Source organism: Homo sapiens, chromosome 14 (assembly GCF_000001405.40).
Source record: "Homo sapiens chromosome 14, GRCh38.p14 Primary Assembly".
Classification (NCBI taxonomy): domain Eukaryota; kingdom Metazoa; phylum Chordata; class Mammalia; order Primates; family Hominidae; genus Homo; species Homo sapiens.
The window spans coordinates 103,056,755-103,073,234 of NC_000014.9; the positions used below are offsets into that span (position 1 = coordinate 103,056,755).

Genomic DNA, 16,480 nt, shown 5'->3' on the forward strand with positions numbered 1-16,480 from the left:
GAGCCTAGGGAGGGCAAGGAGGGATGAAAAGCTAGCGGAGGGACGAGGGTGCAAGGAGCGGCTGGAGAGAGATGGGCTGCGGGCCTGGGGGCGCTGCCAGAGCGAGAGGAGGCGAAGCCCACGAGCTGGGTGGGCAGGAGGGCGGCAGGGTCTGTCCGGGCGGGGATGGGCGGGCGTGGGGATGCGCGGGCTGGGGCGCGGGGGTCGCAGAGCCGCAGGTCCGGCCCTGCCGGCGCGCACTTACCCCACTCGAGGAACTCGGCCACGTACTTGTCGCGGCGCAGGGCCGAGTGGCTGCACTCGGTGTACAGGCAGACGAGCACGTCGAGCAGCGTTTCCACGCTCAGGGCGCTCTCGTTGCGCCAGGGCCCGTCCAGGAGCAGCTGCTCCAGCTTCTTGAGCCGCACCTTGGCCGACATGGTGCCGCGCGGCCCGCTCCCGACGCGCCGGCCTCTCACCGCCGGCTCGGCCAGTCCGTCAGGGCGCGCCCTCGGGGGCTCGGCGGCTGCGAGCCCCGGCAGCAGCGGCGCCTCCTCGCCGCCCCGTCCGCGTCGTCGCGCCCCGGCCTAGGCCGACATCTTGGGCTCCGTCCCGACGGCGCAGAGTCTGGGGCGCCGGGCCCCGCGGGTCCATGGGCCGCTCTCCTCCCCTCGGCGCCGCCGCCCTCCCAGCTCGGGCGGCCCGCCCCCGCCGCCCTCAGCCCCGCCCGCGGCCGCGCCCTCCCCGCCGCCGCCGCCGCAGACTAGGAGCGGCGAGGAGCCTAGCGCTGCGCAAGCCCGGCCGGCGCCCGAGCCCGACCCCAGCCCCGACCCGGCGGCCCAGCCCCGCGGCCCGCAGCCAACCAGGGCGCGGCCAGCACCAGCGCAGCCAACCACTACGGGGCCGGCCGCCGCCGCGCTGACCTCAGCGCGCCGCCCCGCCCCGCGCCCGGCTCCCTGCTCCCGGCGGGCTCGGGCCTCGCCGCTTGCCGTAGGGAGCCGGGATGCTGGGAAGGCAGGGCCGGGCCTGGGGAGCGGCGCGGGGTGGGGGTGGGGGGGGCGGGGCGGGGCGAGTGGGCCGCTGAGATTGCGGAGCCCGCGCATGCGCAGAGCGCGCCTGGTGGGCGTGTGCGCCTTCGCCCTGCGGACCCGGTGCCTTCAGTATTCGGGGTCCGACCGCGCGCGTCGCGGATCCCGGGGCCGAAGACGACCCCAAGTATCGGAGAGGCAGAGTCGCGATCTCAGGCCGTCGAGCCCCGTCCCGCAGTCCGCGGGCCCATGTTGCCTGCGGGGCCTCGGACCTGCCCGGCCGAGGTGGGGGTCGAGGGCGGCCCGGCAGGCGCAGCTCTGATGGCCTCGGCGGGTTGTGGGCTATTTAAAACGGCTTGTCCCAGCTCGAAGCGGTCCTGGAAGACTCGGGCCCTACCCCTGACTTTACCGATGAGAGACTGAGGCCCAGACGGTGTGGGGTCAGGGCCCAGGCTTCTGGGGGATGCTGCCAAGGCGGGAGCCAGCGTCCCCAGTGCCCGGTGGATTCGTGATGGCTTGCAGAGGGTTTCAGTTTCCACTGTCCAGCCCTCCCTGCAGACCAATGCCTAGGTGTGACAGTTTGGTAGGAAAGGGGCCGGATATTTGTCTCCAGGCTGGGTTTGCCTAGCGAGTCGCTGCATTTACTAAGATTGTTGGTTAATTTGGGTGGCTGGGGGAGGGAGGCTGATGGAGATACCCCCCAACCCCAACAAACCCTTGGCGTCAGGAGAGGAGGGGCTTTTCCTGGAGCTTGCGGAAGGTCACCGAAATCGTGGGGGTATCTGAGAGCTTCTGGGGCGCGCGGGTGCAGGGGAAGGGGTCATGCTTCCGTGGAAGCGGTGGCCTCCAGGTGGAGCCGATGAAGGGGCAGATAGGGGTTTGAAGCAGGACGTTAAGGGAGCCTGAAGCAAAACTAATCTCTGGAGCTAAAAATAGGAGTGGGCCTGGCGCGGTGGCTCACACCTGTAATCCCAGCACTTTAGGAGGCCGAGGTGGGCGGATTGCCTGAGCTCAGGACTTCGAGACCAGCCTGGGCAACACGGTGAAACCCCGTCTCTACTAAAATACAAAAAACTAGCCGGGCGTGGTGGCGCGCGCCTGTAGTCCCAGCTACTCGAGAGGCTAAGGCAGGAGAATTACTTGAACCCGGGAGGCGAAAGTGCAGTGAGCCAAGATCGCTCCACTGCACTCCAGCATGGGCAACAGAGCACGACTCCGTCTTAATAATAGTAATAATAATAAGAAGAAGAAGAAGAAGAAGAGGAGTGGCTGCCTATGCCGGAGTTGTTGACTGGAACAAGAGGAGGAACCTTCTGGGCTGCTGGTAATGTTCTATGCCTGGATTTGGGTAGTAGTTACATGGGAGCACGCATAAGTAAACATTCTTCAAACTGTCTTCTTAAGATGAGTGCATGTCACTGTGTGTATGTATATATAATACCTTCATTTCTTAAAGGCAGGTGAGAACAATCTGGCGTTAGAGGTGAGAGTACTGGTTGCCTTTGGGGTATCAACTGGAAGGAGGCACAAGGAGAGGCCTCTAGGGGGCTGGGAACATTCTGTATCTTCAGCACAGCCGTTTTGTAACGTTGGGTCTGTAAATGTGTATAAATTCATCAAACTGTATTCTAAATATTTGCATGTTACTATTTGTGTATGACACCTTAAAAGTTTTTTTTAAAAAGTCTGAGCAGATCACCTGGCTCAAAATCAAAGTTAAATCTTCCCCCTTGGACCCCTTAGGGCCTGAGATGAGCAAGGGGAAAGGGGGCTGTGCCTGGTGCCATCTCCTTCCCCAAACCTCCCTCGGCTCGCTCAGCCCACTTCCACCCATCTAGAACCACCACCGGGAAGGGAGAAAGGGAGAAGTGGGGAAGGGCTCCAATCCCATCTGGATTGGCAGAGGGTAAAGCTGACCCTGTCTCTCCTGGGAACATTCATGGGCTCCTCGGTGGTTCCCTGCTGCTTTGTCTCCTGAAGTCCCCTTAACTCAAGCAGATGTGCCACTGGGTGGATGCTTACCTGGTGGCTGTGGAGGGGAGGGGCCCTCTGCCCTTCCTGAGGGACTTTTGGACAGGACCTAAATGGATCCATGGGTCTTGTGCTTGCTCATCCACCCAGCTCACATCTGTCCTCAGGAAACACTGGCACACTCCTCGCCCCAACATTAGTGAACAGGTGGGTCCCAGCACAGCAGCATAGCTCTGCCTCTGAAACAGCACATGAGCCCTTCCTGCCACTGTGCCCTCCAAATTGAGTGCCAAATATTGAGCTCTCTGAGAAATCCCTTGGAAGCCACCCTCACAGGCTTAAAGTGAAGGAAGGAGTGCCTGTCCTCTGTGTCCCCTGGCAGGATCACCTGACCAAACTTTCTCTTCCACTCTCATCTTTTATTCCTGAGTGTGGGACAGATTCCCAAACATTTCTCTTGACAATCTGCCCATGGCGATCTGACATAGCATTTGAGAATTCCACATCTGCTCTCTCTTCTTGCCTCCTGGAAATTTCCATTTACTGTTCTTATACATTTACAAATGTACAACAAAGGTCATCGTGCCTTTGGTGGACAGTCCTTGTATTCGTCTGCCCTCGCTTTCTCTCTCTCCTGAGCCCCATGCCCTGTGAGTCTGTGCTCCAGCTCCACTCTGATCATAGGATTCTAGAGGGGCTGGCACCAGGGTGGACATGTGACCCAAGACCCTAGCAGCACTTCATCCCCCTTCAGTCATGTGACTGAAGCCAGGCCAATCAGAGAACTTATTTGTTTATGTATTCATTTATCTATTTATTTTTTAGAGACATGGTCTTGCTCCGTCATACAGGCTGAAGTGACTTGGCACAATCATAGCTCACTGCAGCCTTGAACTGCCAGGCTCAAGTAATCCTCCCATCTCAGCCTCCACAGTAGTGGGGACTACAGGTGTATGCCACCACATCTGGCTAATTTAAAAAAATTTTTTTAGAGAAGGAGTCTTGCTATGTCGCCCCGGTTGGTCTTGAACTCCTGGTCTCAAACAATCTTGCTCCCTCAGCAGATAACTTATTTAGAATGTTTTATACTGGCTGGGTGTGGTGGCTCACACATGTAATCCCAGCATTTTGGGAGGCCAAGGCGGGCAGATCATTTGAGGTCAGGAGTTCGAGACCAGCCTGACCAAAATGGTGAAACCTTGTCTCTACTAAAAATACCAAAAATAAAAATAAAAAATTAGCTGGGTGTGGTTGTGCACACCTGTAATCTCAGCTACTTTAGAGAATGAGGCAGGAAAACTACTTGAACCCAGGAGGCAGAGGTTGCAGTGAGTCAAGATGGCGCCACTGCACTCCAGCCTGGGTGACAGAGCGAGACTCCATCTCAAAAAGAAAAAGAAAAAGAAAAAGAAGGCCGGGCGCAGTGGCTCACGCCTGTAATCCCAGCATTTTGGGAGACCGAGCTGGGTGGATCACTTGAGGTCAGGAGTTTAAGACCAGCCTGGCCAACATGGTGAAACCCCGTCTCTACTAAAAATATAAAAATTAGCGGGGCATGGTGGCGCATGCCTGTAATCCCAGCTACTTGGGAGGCTGAGGCAGGATAATCACTTGAACCCGGAAAGCGGAGGGTGCAGTGAGCAGAGATTGCACCAGTGCACTCCAGCCTGGACAACAGAACAAGACTCCATCTCAAAGATAGTAATAATGATAAATAAAATAAAAAATAAAAAGAATGTTTCATACTAAAACTGGGAGAGAGAATTTCTTGTCCTTTCCTTTAGACCAGGGGCGGGTAAACTTTTTCTGTAAAAGGCCAGAGAGTAAATGTTTCAGGTTTTATGAACCCTACAGTCTCTGCATCTACCATTATAGCAAGAAAGCAGCCATAGACAATGTAGAAACAAATGAGCATGACTGTGTGCCGGTAAAACTTTATTTACAAAACAAGCAGCAGGCTAAATTTGGCCTGCAGACCCGTAGCTTGCTGCTCCTTGCTTTACAACACAAGCTATGATGGTGAGACTTCAGCTCAACAGCCACAACACCTGTTAGAGAAAGAAAGAGAAAAATGAGAGAGAGATCTGGTTACATGAAACAATAAATTTTCCTTTTCTCTTGGCCAGGTGTAGTGGCTCATGCCTGTTAATCTCAGCATTTTGGGAGGCCAAGGCGGGCAGATTGCTTGAGCTCAGGAGTTCAAGACCAGCCCAGGCAACGTGGCAAAACCCCGTCTCTACAAAAAATGCAAAAATTGGCCAGGTGTGGTGGCGTGTGCCTATGGTCCCAGCTACTTGGGAGGCTGAGGTGGAAGCATCACTTGAGCCCAGGAGGCAGAGGTTGTAGTGAGCCAAGATCACACCACTGCATTCCAGCCTGGGTGACAGAGCAAGCAAGACTCTGCCTCAAAAAGAAAAAGCAAATTAATTTCTGCTTCTAGCCTAGATGGTGTGATCAGGACCAGATTTACTCTCTTACCTGAAACAATGAAAATAAAAGAGAAAGAAAATGGACAAAACACTTAAAACAAGGATTTTCATGACACTAGAAATCAGGCATCAAAGGACAGTAATCAGCCAGGTGTGGTGGTATGCACCTGTAGCTCCAGCTACTCTGGAAGCTGAGATGGGAGGATGGCTTCAGTCCAGGGGTTCAAGGCTGCAGTGAGTCATGCTTGCACTACTGCACTCCAGCCTGGGCGACAGAGCAAGACTCTGTCTCAAAAAATGCATAATTTTGAAAAAGGACAGTGATCCCTATCCCCGAGACACAGGAAAGAGGTGGCTCTGTGACTGCCCTGCCAGGAAGGGTAAAGAGGTGGCTCTATGACTGCCCTGCCAGGGAGGATAAAGAGGTGGCTCTATGACTGCCCTGCCAGGGAGGGTAAAGAGGTGGCTCTATGACTGCCCTGCCAGGGAGGGTAAAGAGGTGGCTCTATGACTGCCCTGCCAGGGAGGGTAAAGAGGTGGCTCTATGACTGCCCTGCCAGGGAGGGTAAAGAGGTGGCTCTATGACTGCCCTGCCAGGGAGGGTAAAGAGGTGGCTCTATGACTGCCCTGCCAGGGAGGGTAAAGAGGTGGCTCTATGACTGCCCTGCCAGGGAGGGTAAAGAGGTGGCTCTATGACTGCCCTGCCAGGGAGGGGCAACTGAGGTGGAGCTCAGTGGACTCCCTGAGGCGAGGAGACAGAGCAGAAACTGAAGAGACCAAGGCAGCTAGACCTCTCAGGACAGAGTACCATAAATGAGTGAGCTGCACAGAGAAAGCCCTGGAGATGGGTAGAGAGTCTCCTCAGGCATCCAGCAGCACACTGGCCAGTGCTCACGCGGATGGAAGCTACCGCAGGCTGGATTAGGGGAAATAGTGCCAAAAAAGATTGGAGGAAATGGTGCCTGATGCTCACACAGACTGAGAGTAGTGTTGTTTTCCACTGGCCAGACTGGAAAAACTAATAATTCACAGGCATTGGGTAGAATTCTCAAGAAAGTTGTACCTTGGTAATAGGATTCTACCACTAGGAAGTCATGCACTTGCCTTTCCCCCAGCATCCCAGAAAAAGCTCTAGACTGAGCACTGCTCCGGCTCTGCCTAACGAATTACAAATATGAGACACAAAAGTATTAAACAGTTTCCAAGTAATTTCATCCCAGAACAAAGCTCAAGAAAATGTATAGGAATACAAAATATTTAGCACCCAAAAAGGTAAAATCACAATGTCTGGTATCCAGTCAGAGATTACCAGACATTCAAAACACAACCTATGATGAGGATGCCGTCAATTAATCAAAACCAACCCAGAACTTACACAGATGTTAGCATTATCAGAAAAAGATATTAAATGTTATTATAACTGTATTTCATGTGTTTGAAAAAGCTAATAGAATTATGAAAATCATTTTTTAAAACTGTAATAGAATTTCTAAAGATAAGAAAACTATTTCTGGGATTTAAGATATACTGTATGGGATTCATGGCAGATTAGACATTACTTAACAAAAGGTTAGTGAATTTGAAGAAATAGCAATAGAACTTATCCAGAATAAGACAGTGAGAGAAAACAAAAACAAAAACATGAACAGAGCATCAGTGAACTGTGGGACTATTTCAAGTGGCCTGATACATGGATAATTGGGATCCTGAAGGAGAAGAGCAAGAAAGAGGAGGAACAGAAAAAATATTTGAAGAAATTACTGAAAAATTTCCAAACACAATGAAAATTACAATCTCACAAATTCAAGAAGTTCAGTTAATCCTGAGAACAGGAAATATGAAAAACAACAACAACAACAACAAAGCACCGAAGCACATCATCATCAAATTGCTCAAAACCAGTGATAAAGAAACAAAATAGGCCAGGCATGGTGGCTCATGCCTGTAATCCCAGCACTTTGGGAGGCCAAGGCAGGCGGATCACCTGAGGTCGGGAGTTCGAGACCAGCTTGACCATCATGGAGAAACCCTGTCTCTATAAAAAATACAAAATTAGCCAGGCGTGGTAGGCACATACCTGCAATCCCAGCTACTCTGGAGGCTGACACAGGAGAATCACTTGAACCCGGGATGTGGAGGTTGCGGTGAGCCAAGATTGCACCATTACAGTCCAGCCTGGGCAACAAGAGCAAAACTCCATCTCAAAAAAAAAGAAACAAAACAAAACAAAACAAAAAACCAAACACATCCAGAGAAATAAGACACATTACATACAGGGAAACAGAGGTAAGAGTGACACCAAATTTCTTATTGGGAACCACTAAGTGAGAAGACATTGAACCACATCTTTATTTATTTATTTATTATTTTATTTATTTATTTTTTTGAGATGGAGTCTCACTCTGTCGCAAAACACACACGTACACACACACACACACACACACACACACACCTAGCAGCATTCCATTGTAAGATGAGAGTAGGCCCAAACATTTCTGGGAGGAACAAGTAAACTTCCTGAGTAGGTGCCTTAGACTCTAATAGTATTTGCTCCTACTGTTTTGCAACATTTCTTTTCTTTTTCTTTTCTTTTTTTTTTTTTTTGAGACACTGTCTCACTCTGTCATCCAGGCTGTAGTGCAAAGACACAATCTCGGCTCACTGAGACCTCCGCCTCCTAGGTTCAAGGATTCTCCTGCCTCAGCCTCCCAAGTACTGGGATTACAGGCGTGTGCCACCACACCTGGCTAATTTTTGTATTTTTAGTAGAGATGGGATTTCACCATGTTGGCCAGGGTGGTCTCGAGTCAACCTCAGGTGATGCGCCCACCTCGGCCTCCCAAGCATGAACCACTGTGCCCAGACATTTTGCAACATTTCTTTTTCTTTTTCTTTTCTTTTCTTTTTTTTCTTTTGAGATAGAGTCTTGCTCTATCGCCCAGGCTGGAGTGCAGTGGCGTGCTCTTGGCTCATTACAACCTCTGCCTCCCAGTTTCAAGCAATTCTCACTTCTCAGCCTCTCGAGCAGCTGGAATTACAGGCATGCACCGCCACGCCCAGCTAACTTTTGTATTTTTAGTAGAGACAGGGTTTCACCATGTTGGTCAGGTTGGTCTCGAACTCCTGGCATCAAGTGATCCGCCCACCTTAGCCTCCCAAAATGCTGGGATTGCAGGTGTGAATCATTGCGCCCGGCCCTGCGACATTTCTTAACCTGCAACTACACCCTAATGGAAAATACTTTGTTGTGATCAGTCAACAGAAAATGAAAAAGTGGGTCTGGCCCACAAATTTTTCTGCCTGGAGTGCTAGCTCCCGTCAGAGGTAGACAACTAGTGCTTTACAGACAAAGGAGAGGCCCAGAAAGCCAGCATTGAAGAAAAATCCTTGCAGAAGGCAAAACTTGTACATTGATTCACAGGCTATAGCTAATGGGTTGGCTGGACAATTAGACACTTGAATAAAATTCTCCAGGTGGCCTAGGGGACAGGCAAGGGGATGGACTTCTCAGAATGGGCACAGAGTACCCATGGGAATGAATGCTTATTCATTCATGGGCACTTACTGGGGAGGAGGCTCTCAGTACCCAGGTGGACAAGACAGCCTCTTCTGAGGACATCCATTGGCCTCCTCCCTCCCCTTCCCAATGCTGCTCAAACAGCCCGTGGGCAGCTGACTGAGGCAGCAGAGATGAAGGCTATGTAGGGACTCAGAAGCATGACCTTTCCTCACGAGGCTGATTTGGTATCCATTTGGCTGAGTGATTTGGTATCCATATGGCTGAGTGCCCAACCCTCACAGCAGGGACCCACCCTAAGCTCCTAATGTGGTGCCATTCCCACAAGGTGCAGTTGCCCGGTGGCCAGCTTGATGACATTGGACCCCTTCTGTCATGGAAAGGGCAGTGATTTATCCTCACGTGTTTTATGTAAGGACTTGTTTTTCCAGCCACATCACTTCTCTCAGCACTACCATTTGTGGACTCGGACAACGCTTTATTTATCCCTCATCATGGCAACACAAACACCATCACTTTGGACTGAGGGACTCATTTCGTGTTGAAGGAAGTGTGGCGGAGAGCTCATGGCCATGAAATTCCCTGAATTTACCATGCTCCCCATTACCCAGAAGCAGCTGGTTTGGGAGAATGGAGGAATCATCTGCAGAAGACTCCGTTAAGGTGCCGGATGAGAGCCAATAGCCTATGAGGTTAAGCTGCCATCCTACAGGGTGTGGTGCATGCCTCAACCCAGCAAATGGTATGCGGTGCCATCCCCCGACACCTCAAATGCATGGGTCCAGGAACTGAGCAGTGGAGGCAGGAGGGGCCCTTCCCATTATTACACCAAATAACATACTGGAGGAATTTTGCCTTCCTTCCTGTGTGTGACCTTGGGCCAGTGTCCAGGAAAATGTTTCCATCAGGAAACACAGTCATGGTTTCGATGGATTACGGTGGAACTGCCCCTCCCCCAACTGGCAATTTCCGGTTCCTTGTGCCGCTGAACCAACAGGCAGAGAAGGGATCACTGTGCTGGCTGGGATGACAATCCCCATCCTCAGAGGGAGTTTGCATTGAATTGATTCTCACACCGAGGGAAGGCACGACTTAACCACAGTCATGCACCACGTAATGATGTTTTGGTCAGAGACTACCGCATCCATGACAGTAGTCCCATAAGATTATAATATTTTACGTATATATTTTTTTCTTTTTTTTTTTGAGACAGAGTCTCGCTCTGTTGCCCAGGCTGGAGTGCAGAGGCGTGATCTCGGCTCACTGCAAGCTCCGCCTCCTGGGTTCACACCATTCTCCTGCCTCAGCCTCTCGATTAGCTGGAATTACAGGCATGCACCACCACGCCCAGCCAACTTTTGTATTTTTAGTAGACACAGGGTTTCACCATGTTGGTCAGGTTGGTCTCGAACTCTTGGCCTCAAGTGATCCACCCACCTCAGCCTCCCAAAGTGCTGGGATTACAGGTGTAAGCCACCGCGCCCAGCCAATATTATATTTTTACTGGACCTCTTCTATGTTTAGAGACATAAATTCTTGCCATTGGGATATAGTTGCCTACAGTGTTCAGTACAGAAACGTGCTGCACAGGTTTGTAGCCTAAGAGCAAGAGCCTGTACCATGTAGCCTGGGTGTGTCCATCTAAGTTTGTGTAAGTTCACTCTCTGATGTTCACACAACAACACTGCCTAATGACACATTTCTCAGAATGCATACCTGCCACTAAGTGACGCATGACTAATTTTTTTTTTTTTTTTTTGATACAGGTCTTGCTCTGCCGCCCAGGCTGGAGTACAGTGGCACAATCTTGGCTCACTGCATCCCTGACCTTCCGCACTCAAGTGATCCTCCCACCTTGGCACCAACACCCCACCCCCTGCCCCTTCTCACGTAGCTGGGACTACTGGTATACACCACCATACTTGGCTTTTTTTTTTTTTTTTTTGCATTTTTTTGCAGAGTTAGAGTTTCATCATTTTGCCCAGGCTGGTCCCAAACTCCCAGGCTCAAGTGATCTGCCTGCCTTGGTCTCCCAAAGTGCTGGGATTACAGGCATGAGCCACCACACCCAGCTGTGACTGTACTTCTTGCTCAATGTTTTTTATTATCAGGAAAAGGGAAGGGAGCTCATTAAAGACAAGTCATAAAGGAATCAGATTCTGAAGGAACAAAAGTTTGGGTTATCTCACTAAGGCTGTAAAAAAACAAAAAGGGCTGGCCAGGCGCGGTGGCCAGCACTTTGGGAGGCCGAGGCAGGCAGATCACTTGAGCCCAGGAGCTAGAGACCAGCCTGAACAACCTAGTGAGACCCCCCTCTCAAAAAAATACAAAAGCTAGCCAGGTGCACTGGCTCATGCCTATAATCCCAGCACTTTGGGAGGCCGAGGCAGGCAGATCATGAGGTCAGGAGTTCAAGAACAGCCTGGCCAACATAGTGAAACCCCATCTCTACTAAAAATACAAAAATTAGCCAGGCGTGGTGATGAGTGTCTGTAGTCCCAGCTACTCGGGAGGCTGAGGCAGGAGAATCGCTTGAACCCGGGAAGGCTGAGGTGGGAGGATCACCTGAGCCTGGGAGGTGGAGGCTGCAGTGAGCCGTGATTACACCACTGCACTGCAGCCTGGGCGACAGAGTAAGACCCTGTCTCAAAAGAGAGAGAAAAAAAGTGTTGCTGCGGAGCCAGCCGAGGGGAGGGGCCATAGGATGGCGGCTGAGGAGCGCTGCCTAGGCAGCATGGCTGGGGGGCATCCGTCAGCGGGCTGCTTCCCTCCTGCCCATTCCCACCCCCTCCCACCTTAGTGAAGAGGCTGGCAGTGCCGGGCTCTCAGCCTTCAGGTTGGTGCACACACAGTCGAGGGTGATGGGACGTCATTTGCCCTGGGTGCTGAAGACACAGGGCAAGGGTGGAGACCAAAGGTCAGCAGGGTGGATAGCTGCTGGATAGCTGCCTCTGCCCCTCCAGACCCACTCTCCATCCTGCTCTGTACCCCAGGTGGGCTGCGCCCACAGGCCACCTGGCCCCCTGACTGCTGGGTTTGGCCAATGGGGCCTCTGGCATGTGGCTGGGAGCTGGGGGAGAGGGAGGGAATACTCGTTCCCCACGTTCCCCAGGAGCTGCGCCTTGGCCACATCTTTCTTCTGAAGTCTGGGGTCCCTCTCCTCGGAGCTCCTCTCTCCAGGATCCGGCCACTCCTCCCTCTTGCCGTCCTCAGAGGACCCAAAGGTGGAAACAGCTCCCACCCCTGCCTGACTTGCTGGCACCCTGCCCACACCTCGGTAAGGTGGCCTCTCTCATCCTCTCCTCCATCCCCTGCGTCAGTGTGACCCCTTCTGGGACTGCCTAAGACGCGACATGCACAGTGACACTCATAGCGGTGCTCCTCGTTTTAAAAACGAAAGCTTAGGCCAGGCACGGTGGCTCACGCCTGTAATCCCAGCAATTCAGGAGGCTGAGGCAGGCAGATCACGAGGTCAGGAGTTCGAGACCAGCCTGGCCAATATAGTGAAACCCCATCTCTACTAAAAAATATGTAAAAATTAGCCAGGCATGGTGGCATGCTCCTGCAGTCCTAGCTATGCGGGAGGCTGAGACAGAAGAATCGCTTGAACTCGGGAGGCGGAGGTTGCAGTGAGCTGAGATGGAGCCACACTCCAGCCTGGGCGACAGGGCGAGACTCCTTCTCAAAAAAAAATAAAGGCCGGGCGAGGTGGCTCACGCTTGTAATCCCAGCACTTTGGGAGGCTGAGGCGGGCGGATCATGAGGTCAGGAGATCAAGACCATCCTGGCTAACACGGTGAAACCCCGTCTCTACTAAAAATACAAAAAAATTAGCCGGGTGTGGTGGCGGGCACCTGTAGTCCCAGCTACTTGGGAGGCTGAGGCAGGAGAATGGCATGAACCCAGGAAGGTGGAGGATGCAGTGAGCTGAGATTGCGCCACTGCACTCCAGCCTGGGCGACAGAGCAAGACTCCATCTCAGAAAAATAAAAATAAAAATAAAATAAATAAATTAAAATTAAAATATATTAAAATAAAATAAAAATAAAAACAAAAAGCTAAGTGTCCATTGATAGATAAACAGGTAAAGAAATTACGGTGCATCTATCACATGGAACCCATGTAGCACTAGAGACGTAAGGCAGGGTCACTTGTTCCAGCAACCCAGAGTGGCTGCCACCCACGGCGTGCACGGTTCTGGGTGCTGAGGACTCCAGGGTGTCCCTTCTGGTCTAGGGGCGACAGGCTGTACACCAGGACACAGGGGAGTAAAAGAGAGAATCTGGGAGAGGGATGAGGGTTGCGAGGACAGCGGATGGGGCAACTGGTGTGTGAGGGGTGCCTGCCTTACAGATGGGGGACGCCAGGAAGCCTCTATCCAGCGGCGACCTTTTAGGGAGATGCAAACAGCCAGGAGGAGTCAGCCCTGTGCGGCCTTCCAGGCACAGCAAAGCTCAGGACACAGATGGGAGCAGAAGGTGGCTGCCCTGGGATGCTGGGGAGGTGCGCAGGGCCAGTCCCGCAGGCCTGGACGAGCACGGCTGGGCCTCACAGGTGGGAGTCTCTGCAGCTCCCCCTTCCCTGCCCGGCATGGAGGAGTCCCCAGGCCTGCGGCCATGTGACCCTGCCATTGGTTCCTAGGGTTTCCTGCTGCCTGACTCTGCGGCACTTCTGAAGGGTGTCTCTCCTCCTCATTCTCAACATCCATGCTGACCACATTGAAGGTCAAGGGCGTGGGCCAATACCCTGCCAGGGCCAGGTACAAAGAGAGTGCCCACAGAAATGTCTGTGAGATGGAAGGAGGCAGAGAGCCAGTGATGAGGGAGGCAGGAGGGGATGCAAGGGGCCATAAGTGCTGCGGGAGGTGGGGGGCCATCTGGAAGGTGGCTGGGTGCATCAGGTGGTGGGGTAGGGGGGGCGACAGCCTCTCTCCTCCTCTTTGTTCTGCTCTGCAGTGGTGGTGGTGGGCCAGGGAGTCAGGGGAGCCATTATCTTGGAGGCCCAAGTAGCCAGGGACAAATGCATAGTCTCAGAGAGCCAGGAGGCCGGTCCTGGAGACCCCACCAGGGCCCAGGAGAGGGGAGCCAGGCTGGAGACAGCCTCGGAGCAAAGCTGGACTGTGGGCCAGTGGCCCTGCATGCAGGCTTAAAACTTTCCTGTCAACCAGGGTCCCAGTAGGAAAGAGCTGGCACCCTCAAATTAGGGTAAGTCTAGGTGGGTCTATTTGGAAAGAGCCCAATGAGGGGGACCACCAGGGCTGGTGCAGGAAGGAGCTGGCAGCAGCACGGCTGTCACCACCCATGTACCACGTCTTCCAATGTCCCCAGGGCCACTGCCACCTCTCTCCTGGCTGTGTGTCTGGGAGGCCACCTGTGTGGGCGCCATCGGCCTGGGTCGTCTGGTTTGCACTTGGTGTCAGCTCCTGCAAGTCCTGATGGAGGCCGGGAGGGAGGGAGGAGACAGTAGAGGGTGTCGGTCTCCTGGCTCCTTCCCTGCTGCATGGCGCCGGGCAGTGACCCCGGCCAGAAGTCACTGTCCTGTCCAGACAGCCAAGAGTCAGCGACGCTGTCTGCTCTGTGTTCCAGTCTCTGCGGCCTTCACTTCTTCCTTCCAGCCGAGGGTGGGGCCAGCCTGTTCTCTCCCAGCCCCAGGGCTGGCGGCGCTGCCCGGCCTACGCTGTCCTTTCTGAGCCTGCTGCCTGTTGCTTCTAGGCACCCTGGTCTAGCCCTGGCCACAAGCCCTGCCCTCATGATCCCCTCGCAAATGTCCTTCAGGGCAACGCCCCACTGCAGCCAGGAATGTTCCCTGCATTGAAGAGCAGTGAAGCCAGCAGGGCCCACCTGAGACGCCCTGTGGGTCGGGGAGAGGGCTCACCCACTGACTCTGTGACCTCCGTGACCTCCAGTGCCTCCCCTGAAAGGGGAGGAGGAGCTGGAGGTCACAAAGTCTCCCGAAAGGGGAAGAGGAGCCTCTATTGTCATCCTCGTGAGGCTTCACGGAGGTTGCGGGTGCAGCCCGCAGTCACACTGGGGACAGAACGTACAGACAGCCTTCTGTGGTGCTAACAGGCAGCAGCCGATGACATGACGCAAGGTGAGAGGCTGGAGGCACTGACCAGCGCCGCCTGCGCAACCCGTCTGAGTGCCACTGCGCTCCCCTCCCCAGCGGCCTCGCCCAGCTTCCCTGGGCCGCCCGAGGCATCTTTCCCGAGGCTGGCGAAGCAGGCTTCTCTCCTGCCCAGAAGCCTGCCTGGGTCCTCACTGCCTTGGGGATAAAGCGGGGCTCCTGGGCCTCCATCCAGGCCCTTTGGAGCCTCTGATCTAGGATTTCCCTTCCCAGAGCCCACAGCACGACCTGAGGGAATTACTCACGCCCGGGTGGGGCGGGTGTGGAGGCTGGGCCAGGAACTCAAGGAGGGGCAGATGGAGAGGGCCGTTAGGAGGTACTAAGGATTCAGTCATGGCTGCAAACACTGCACATCAAGCCTGTCCAACCTGCCGCGGCCGAACGGGGCTCAGGATGACTTTGGATACAGCCCAACACAAATTCGTAAACTTCCTTTAAAAAAGGCCGGGCACAGTGGCTCACGCCTGTAATCCCAGCACTTTGGGAGGCTGAGGTGGGCAGATCACCTGAGGTCAGGAGTTTGAGACCATCCTGGCCAACATGGTGAAACCCCGTCTCTACTAAAAATTCAAAAATTAGCTGGGCGTGGTGGCACACACCTGTAGTTCCCAGCTACTCGGGAGGCTGAGGCAGGAGAATTGCTGGAACTTGAGAGGCGGAGGTTGCAGTGAGCCGAGGTCACACCTTTGCACTCCAGCCTGGCAACAGAGCGAGACTCTGTCTCAAAAACAAACAAACAAGCAAACAAACAAACAAACAAGAGCACTCATCTCAACAGCCTCTGTGTGCCCAGCGCTTCCCTCTCACCTGCTCAAATAGCTGCACGTGGCCTTGCTCCCCTCCTCACTGTGCAGATAAGGAAACTGAGGCTCAGAGTGGGCGAGAGACTCGCTCAGGGGCACACGGTGAACTGAGGGAGGTGCCTGGACTTCATCTAAGCTGGCGTGGTTGGCAGAGGCCGGGCATCGCCCCTGAGCATGGAGATGTCCACAGAGGCTTCAAGGCTGGCATATCCTGTCTGGGGTGCGGACTGAGGAGGCCCACTCTCTGGGAGAGGCGGTCTGAGGACACTCCTGTCCCTCTGGCCACCTTGTGCTTCTCAGAGAGTCGTCTCCAGATAGGACTGGCGGCAGCAGCGCCTGGAAACTTGTTTGAAATGCACCCCAGACCCACTCACCCAGAGTCACTGGGGCTGGGCCAGAGGGCTGTAGGCGATTCTGCTGCACACTCCAGGTTGACAGCCCCCGCTGTGGGCTCTAGAGTGACACCTGCGGTGCAGTTTCCCTCGAGGGCCTCTGCTGTTGGCCAGGACAGGCACTCACCTACCTCCTATTCCCAGCACCACCCTCCATCTCTGGTCAGGGCGAAGCAAGAGTGGAGGGAGGGAGGTTTGGGGACGTTCAGGGTGATATCAAGTCTGGACAGCTGCC

At 53.8% G+C, this 16,480-nt stretch overlaps 1 protein-coding gene across 8 annotated transcripts in view, besides 4 other annotated features; it reads right to left on the reverse strand.

Annotated features, from left to right (window-relative positions):
- Positions 1-795, reverse strand: part of CDC42BPB (CDC42 binding protein kinase beta) — a 125,170-nt gene extending 124,375 nt beyond the window's left edge. For all 8 annotated transcript variants that reach the window (NM_001411054.1, NM_006035.4, XM_005268228.2 and 5 more), the window contains exon 1: positions 245-795. In NM_001411054.1, the coding sequence (NP_001397983.1) occupies positions 245-419 (175 nt within the window). In that variant the 5' untranslated portion in view covers positions 420-795. The remainder of the gene's footprint in view (positions 1-244) is intronic.
- Positions 467-546: a silencer, noted in NCBI's record as "silent region_6138". NCBI's record gives its function as "represses an Ori minimal core promoter by ATAC-STARR-seq in GM12878 lymphoblastoid cells {active_cell/tissue: GM12878}" and the evidence as "EXISTENCE:reporter gene assay evidence [ECO:0000049][PMID:35858748]".
- Positions 637-1,136: a silencer, noted in NCBI's record as "silent region_6139". NCBI's record gives its function as "represses an Ori minimal core promoter by ATAC-STARR-seq in GM12878 lymphoblastoid cells {active_cell/tissue: GM12878}" and the evidence as "EXISTENCE:reporter gene assay evidence [ECO:0000049][PMID:35858748]".
- Positions 1,177-1,286: a silencer, noted in NCBI's record as "silent region_6140". NCBI's record gives its function as "represses an Ori minimal core promoter by ATAC-STARR-seq in GM12878 lymphoblastoid cells {active_cell/tissue: GM12878}" and the evidence as "EXISTENCE:reporter gene assay evidence [ECO:0000049][PMID:35858748]".
- Positions 1,282-1,932: an enhancer, noted in NCBI's record as "H3K27ac-H3K4me1 hESC enhancer chr14:103524373-103525023 (GRCh37/hg19 assembly coordinates)". NCBI's record gives its function as "activates a minimal SCP1, AML or CMV promoter by ChIP-STARR-seq in naive H9 embryonic stem cells {active_cell/tissue: H9 hESC(naive)}" and the evidence as "EXISTENCE:reporter gene assay evidence [ECO:0000049][PMID:30033119]".